Here is an 8,034-nt window from a genome sequence, read left to right as displayed (position 1 = left end):
TCAGAGCAGGGGTGGAGGGCAGCAGGGGGCACCGCAAGGAGGGTACAGGCCTCGAAAAAGGAGAGGTTCTTGTACTGAAATATCTTTGAAAACCACGACTTTTGAGAGAGCATTAAGTTTCTTACAAGCAGGTTTCCCTGGATCCCATGAAAGGGACTTGGGAAAGCTGGTAAGAGGCAGTTTCCAGGAAGGGACTGCAAGAAGCTGGTCAACTGGAAGGTGTACCATGGCCTGAGTGCTGCGGTGGGAGTGAGTCTCTGACATCCTGCAGCGGCCCCGGATTGTGAGCAGGATCACGGTGTTGACTGTTTCTGGGAGAGGCGCAGACTGGAGGCTGCCTGACAAGGCTGTGCACAGAAGAGCCTGGACACAGGGTTAGGCCTGAGATGGCAGGTGCTGGAGAAGGAAGGCTCCCGACTCTTGTGCTGCAGGGTGGGCACTGGACAGCATTGGGTCTTGCTGTTAGGGTGGGCGCTGGGTGGCATCGGGTCTTGCTGTTAGGTTGGGCGCTGGATGACATTGGGTCCTGCTGTTAGGGTGGGCGCTGGGCGGCATTGGGTCCTGCTGTTAGGGTGGGAAGGATCATGTCCCCAGGATGCCCACATTCTAATCTTTGACCTGTGGCTACATCAACTCCCAGGGCAGCAGGGATAGCAGGGATGTTGCAGGTGTGGCTGAGAACCATGAGCTGGGGGAGCCCCATGTTGTGCAGGTGGACAAGGTGCTTCACTGGTCCTAGTAGGTGAGAGGGGAATGAATGAGGAGAGGCAGAGTCACAGACGATGTGGAGATGGAAGCAGAGGCTGGCAGGAGACCAGGCTGCCAGCCACGGAACGTGGGCTGCCTTTGGAAGCTGGAGAAGCCAAGGATGACAGTGTCTCCCCCAGAAGGCGCAGAGCCCTGATTTCAGGCCAGTGAAGCTGACTTTGGGCTTCTGGTCCCCAGGCTGGAGGAGGACACATTTGTATTGTGCTGAGTCCTGACGCATGAGGTGCTTTGTCACAGTGGCAGCAGAAAATGAGTGCACCTGCCCAAGGCTGAGCAGAGTGCGGTGGACATGAGGATTCCCAGAGGCGGGAGCCCAAGGCTGAGCAGAGCGTGGTGGACACGAGGATTCCCAGAGGCGGGAGCCCCTTCCTTCCTGGGACACGCCCACGTGGGACCAGAGCCGGGGCTTCTCTGAGCAGGGGCAGCGCTGCTCATTAGCACCAAGGCTTCTGGCCAACTCAGTTCTCATCTCCAGTGCTGTGCTCAGCGACTTTGGCAACGAGACTTAAAAATGCTGTGGAGACGTCTTGCTGGTTACCGATGCACCCTGCCAGAGTTACCCTCTACCTTCTCCATCGCACTGCTGCGTCCTAAAGAAGACACCGCCACATGCTGAGTCTTGGCGCTGAATCTTCTGAATATGATACAAGGCTTTGATTTTACTGTCATTCGGTGAGTTGAGAACAGCGGATGGGTCGTCCAGCGGATCCATAGACTGAGAGCCGCACTTCCTGAGCTCTGCTGACTGTGCTGACGGCGAGTTGGACTGCGCTTTATAAGGACAGCACTTATGTGTTATTAAAGACAAAGATTCTCTTTAATTTTGGAGACACATGGTGGTGCCATTTTACCCGTGAGGGGTTTTCCTCAGGACCAGCGGGAGGGCTTCCTGGAGTCTTCTAACATTAGTAGCCCGTGTCCAGTTGACGGAGCATCTCAGGATGAAAGTAAAAATGTCCTCATACTATTTTCTACTCTATTTGCGAAAGTTTTGCCTTTAGGAATGACTGATGGCTGCAGAAGAAAGAATGATTTCAGCGACATCCCCAACATTTCAGCCCCTGTGCAGCCTGGGGGGAAAGTGATCTCTTTCTCTCTGTCCCCCGTGGCTCCGGGCGGTGCGTCTGCATGGGTCCTGCTAAGATGTACAGAAATCCTTCCAGCATTATAAACACGGGTGTCGAATTCTCCAGGGCGAACAAAGGGGTCGTGCTTGGGTGCAGGGTGCTATTCGATCCCTTAGAACGGGGATAAACAGTCCTGGAAGGTGGATTTGAACTTCCTTCCATTATTAAGGTTTTCCTGCAGAATCCAATCTGTGTAATGGAAGAATATATTTTGTTGACTGGCATCTTAGATCTTTATAGCATTTGCAAAATTATTTTGAACTTTCTTCCTCTAATTGTAATCACTTTAACCAATAATCCTAAGAACTCAGGGAGAATCAAAATACTAATGTCTCTTCATATCTCCTGTGCCCTCCTGTCCTCTCAGCCACCCAGAGTGTACGCAAGCACAGCTGTGGGGTCCCTTGGAGCTTCCGGGGTGCAATTCTGAGGGTCAGATGGGTGTCGGCTGCTGTGGCGGTCCATCTACCAGGCGCTGTTTTCTATGGGAGGAGAGACTTCAGCCCCCAAGTGCTGTCCAAGGACAGCCCCAGGACTGTGACCAGGGCCTTCCTGCCCTCACGCCACCTGACCCACAGTGGAGGCTGCAGCTGCTGCTTGGCCCAGGGGGTGGCCCGTGGGCACTCATGAAACAAACCCACTATCCCGGGCGTTTCTGGGGTGACCTTCTCTGGGGCTGAGTCGGGTTTGATGCCCGTGGTCACTGTGCCTGCCAGTATTTGTGAGATGAGGGGTGTGCACGGCTGAGACAGAAGGAGGTCTGTGGGATCAGCAGAACCAGCGAAACCCTCCAGGTGTCGTCATCAAGTCCCGCTGTCTCCTCTCTCCTGGGTGGCTCGCAAACGTCAACAGGCTCACGAGATGATGGGGCTGAATTATTTCTGGGTCTCCGTTTAAGGCTCTGCAGGAAAAGGAATACTGGCTGCTGGGTGCACACTGAGTTTGGGGCAGTATGGCACGGACACAGCTAGGAACAGGTGGGGCCTGTGCATTTCTCTGCAGGTGAGTCTGGGTTTGCAGCTTCAAGTTGACAGCAGCGAGGTCTGCAGACCTGGGCTGGCTGCACCAGGAGGGACGGCGCCGGGAGGGTGCTGCAGACAGGCCTGGGCATTCAGGACATTTTAGGGTGTTTTTCCTCTTATTTTGTCCTATTTATTAACTGTTCTGCTAATTTTCCTTTCCTACTCGCCATCTTTCATTCTGAGTCTCAGTGTTCTGTAATTTGGGGAGGAGCCACCAGCTGTGGCCTTCTCATGTACTTCTTTGCGGGTGTGATGCTGACATCGGGATCTCTCTTCAGCCTCTAGAGCTGTGCTCGCTTATAGCAATAGTCAGCAGTGTTTCCACCTGACGCAGTCCGACAAGGTGTCTTTCGTGGGTGGTTTCAGAATCCTTGTTTTCTAGACAAAGAAGAGGGAATCCAGCAATGGGGGGTGCCCTATACCACGAAACTGAGCAAGGGGGGTGCGTGATCGGTACCATCGGCCCATTCGACTCTCTCAGTGACTCTAGTGGGGGCTCTAATATTAACCCCACTTTATGGGAGTAGAAATTGAGATAAACATGCAAAAGTAACTTGCTCATAATTATACTTCTGGGAAGACGAGAGTGGGATTTTGCACCCTGTTGCACCACGCATGGAAGGTGGCTCTGCAGCATAGACCCTCCTGTCAGAGCAGCAGAGTGGACTGTACTTGGGCCCTGTGTGCTCTGTGTGCTGTGTGTGGGCTGTGTGGGGACTGTGTGTGTGCTGTGTGGGGACTGTGTGTGGGCTGTGTGGGGACTGTGTGCTGTGTGTGTGCTCTGTGGGCTGTGTGTGGGGACTGTGTGTGGGCTGCGTGGGGACTGTGTGTGTGCTGTGTGTGTGCTGTGTGGGGACTGTGTATGGGCTGTGTGGGGACTGTGTGTGTGCTGTGTGGGGACTGTGTGTGTGCTGTGTGTGTGCTCTGTGGGCTGCATGTGGCGACTGTGTGTGTGCTGTGTGGGGACTGTGTGTATGCTGTGTGGGGACTGTGTATGGGCTGTGTGTGGGCTGTGTGGGGACTGTGTGTGTGCTGTGTGTGTGCTGTGTGTGTGCTGTGTGGGGACTGTGTGGGGACTGTGTGTGGGCTCTGTGTGGACTGTGTGTGGGCTGTGTGTGGGCTGTGTGTGGGTTGTGTGTGTGTGCTGTGTGTGGCCTGTGTGTGCTGTATGGGGACTGTGTGGGGGGACTGTGTGTGGGCTATGTGAGACTGTGTGTGCTGTGTGTGTGCTGTGTGGGCTGTGTGGGGACTGTGTGTGGGCTGTGTGTGGGTTGTGTGTGGATTGTGTGGGCTGTGTGGGGAATACGTGGGGGCTGTGTGGGGTGTGTGTGGGTTGTGTGGGCTGTGTGGGGAATACGTGGGGGCTGTGTGGGGTGTGTGTGGCCTGTGTGTGCTGTATGGGAAGTGTGTGGGGTTTGTATGGGCTGTGTGTGGGCGGCATGTGGGCTGTGTGGGGTTTGTGTGGGCAGTGTCTGTGCTGTGTGTGTGCTATGTGTGGCCTATGTGTGCTGTGTGTGGACTGTGTGGGGACTGTGTGGAGTGTGTGTGAGTTGTGTGGGCTGTGTGCTATATGGGCTGTATGGAACTGTGTGTGGGGACTGTGTGTGGACTGTGTGTGCTGTGTGTGGGCTGTTTGCGGACTGTGTGCGGGGACTGTGTGTGGGCTGTGTGGGATTGTGTGTGGGTTTGTGTGTGGGGATTGTGTGTGGACTGCATGTGGGCTGTGTGGGGTTTGTATGGGCTCTGTGGGTCTTTCTCACAGTCCACGCTGGCCCCATCCTAGAGTCTCTTGCTTTTGGGACACCTGTTGATGGGGTGGACTCTTCATTGAGGATGGTCATACTGACTTGGGCAGGGAATGTGAGCCTCTGTGTTTAAAAGGCATCCGGATGGGTCTTATGGCCAGGGCAGCACCTCACTGGGGACCACAACCCAGCACCCTTTCCAGCACCTTAGTGTGACTACTTTCCCCAGAGCAGACAAATGTCAAGGGAAATGATTGAAGCAAACACAGTTCCAGATCCTGTGCTTTTGCCAAGAGACTACTGTGTAAGCAGGATCACCGATCTGTCAATTCCAGTTAAGAAACAGCTGCCAAGTGAAGCATGGTGTCCAAACCATAGGCAAGTTCTTTCTGTAGAAAGGGTTGCAGCAGCCTAGTAATGAGAAGGCTTTCTCAGGTGTGCAGGAGAATTTGAGTGTGGGTCACCTTAGGAAGCTCTCTTGTCCCCTCCATTGCACACACAGACCCCAGGGCCCTTTCTTCAATGAGCTGCTCATGGGCCTGGCTCAGGTGTAATTCCTGCAGACCCAGCTGTTGGACAGGACTTGAGTATAGCGTCCTGGCCACAGGGTGAAAAGCCCTGTCTCTGGGAGAAGAGAGTGCAGATACTATTTATTTCAGACCTGACGTCCTCGGAGAACAGTGCTGGCCTGGCCTCCATGTCAGAGGTGTGTTATGTCTGAGCTCAGGGCCCCACGGCAGCCCCACGCCACGTGATGCTGACTTTCGACCAGCTCCTCTTCCCCCTACCTAAGACAATTCTACTCTCTAGCGTTTCGGATCCCCCTTGCGCTCAGGGTAAGTGCAAGGCAATGCTCTTCCCAGCTCTGTGTGCACTGAGGTCACCCCACAAGACCTTGTCACTGATCACTCACTGCTGTCTCCACCTTTCCGTGGCTGGTAACCAGAAGCACTGGGATGCCTTCCTTCCAGGGCAGGATTTGACTCTGTTCTAGAGTTGGTCATTTTCTGGGGAGGCCCCCTGTCTTGAGCAGAAGCCCACAGAAAGGCCTGCCTTTCCCAGTTTATCTGACAGGCACTCCTGCTCAGTATCAGACCGTGCACTCCTGGGGGTGTGGCAAATCTGGGATCACAAATAGACCGGAGGCTCCCATGTCCATCACTCTTAGGGTGCGGGGGGATGTCCCTGAAATGCGTGGTAACAAGGTCTTACAAACTCGAGGTCAAACCCCAAATCTACCACTTTGGATACGTCAGCTGGGTTCTCTGCCTCTGGTCTGATTTTTGTGTGGGGTGGCCACAGATCTCTCAGAGTTTAGAGGAGTAAATGAGATAAGACAGCTTTGTGACTCTGAAAGCAATCTGTGCAAAGTGGTATTATTATTGTTTTGTTGTTATTGCAATTATTTTGCCCACATCCTTTTAAATAATTATTATAACTTGTGCAATTGGAAACCCCACTCTCCCTATAGCTAGGTGCATTGCCTAGGGTATCGTTTACTCTGACTTTCTTCCCTGTTTACCTTTTATCTCCAATCTCGGTCAGGTGGCGACTGGCCTAGGAGGAAGGGACGACCAGGCCTGGCTCTGTTCTGAGCTGATTCTGTGACTTTCCAAGTCATCTTATTTCCGTTGGTCTCTGTTTCCTCATTTGTTACACGAGGCTTGACTAGCATATCACTTAATATTCCTATCAGACCCAACATCCTAGCAGTTTTCAGCTCTCATGTCAGCAGTGGAGGTCAAGAGCAGAATCACACAGACCTGAGTTTACAGCCCAGATCTCCACACTCACCCGGGCAACCTCGGACGGGCTGTCTGTCTCGCAGAGGTGTGCTGGGGCCTGCGTCCTTGCAGGCCCATGGGAGCCCAGTGATGCGTTTTCAGGAATTTCATGAGCCGGTTATGAAACACTGTCACTATTAAAGATCAAATCATTTAAACATACAATTTATATATATATATATATATGTGCTATGTATGCATAACAAATTATGTGGACTTACTTATAATTAGCAATAACTTCTATTAAACACGACGGTGATAAACATGGAAACTGCTCACCTCGCACCGTTGCGGGGCATCGACCGCGCTTCACGCTCACGGGGAGGGAACGCCGCCGTGTTGTTCCCACTCCGTCTCTTCCTAACCCCGTCAGTGCTGTCTGCTTGCTACCTTGGAATCGGCCGTGACGGGGACCCCTTGGAAACTGGAAACCACCGCACATCAGGACTCAGAGCTGGGATCGAATATTTACCCACGACGGCTGCCCGGAGGCCTCGGCTTCCTTGTCTACAATGGGGCAAAATGACGGCTCACAGAGTAGGTCCGAGCTTGCCCTGGAGCCGTGCGGGCGGCCCGGCGCAGAGCAGGTGTCCACAGATATTCGCTGCTTCCCTCTGGCTTTGCTTGTGACCAGGGAGGCGAGGCCGGGCTCACACCGAGGATAAAAATGTTTCCTTGTGGCGTTCTCATTCCAGGCAGGCCCTGCTCCTCACTCCTAGAGATTCTGATTCTGTAAGCCCGGGAGTCTGCATTTGAAAACATCCCCCAGGGCCCCCAGATCACCCACATTCCCCAGAGGGTCCTGGCACCCAGGCCACAGAGCCCGGGCCACGTGTGCTGGTGCCAGCCCATTCCCAGGCGACGCGTCCACGGTGTGCACTGCGGAGGGAGCAGGGGCCCTGGAAGGCTGTGAGACCCGAGGCCACGGGCATTCATTGCTCCTCAGAAGCCGGTCCTGCGTCAGCTGCAGCATGACTGCTCAATCACCGCAGGAAATCACAGGATGCCTTGGTTCCTGAATTCACACTTAAAAAGAGAAACGAAGACATCCGCCAGGGGCAGCTCTGCTGGAGGGTGATTCCACACCTCGCCACGTGGGACAATCAGGGTGACTGTGGCCATTGAGGCCGATGACTGCAATGACTGCGCGGGTCTGACCACGCTCCCCTCTCCATGGGAGGACCTTGGGCAGTTGTTCCCGTCTCCGTCAGCGACGACTTGCTGCTGTCTGGAAACCCGAAACAGCTGCGCACCCATGAGTGCACCACGGCCGGTGCCCCGGGCCTGGACCTGCCTCCTGGGATTCACCGCTTGCCGCCCGCACCAACGGGACCAGAACAGCAGAAAGGGGAGGCCCTGTTTTGCACCCAGGGGGACGCTTGCGGCTCAGAGCAGAAGAGGCTGGGCAGACCCAGAGCAGGAGGGCTTGGAGGGTGGGCGTGAAGTCGGGGGCATGAAGGATAAAGCCTCCCCCAGGTGCCCGGCAGAGCATGGACCTGTGATGGTGAGTGCCCCCGAAGTCTGTGGCTCTCAGTCCAGCCTCTCTGCTGTGGGGGGCACCATCTCACAGGCATATATGTATTTAGCT

This window comes from Homo sapiens, chromosome 18 (assembly GCF_000001405.40).
Source record: "Homo sapiens chromosome 18, GRCh38.p14 Primary Assembly".
Taxonomy (NCBI): domain Eukaryota; kingdom Metazoa; phylum Chordata; class Mammalia; order Primates; family Hominidae; genus Homo; species Homo sapiens.
Note: the sequence above shows the minus strand (reverse complement) of the source record.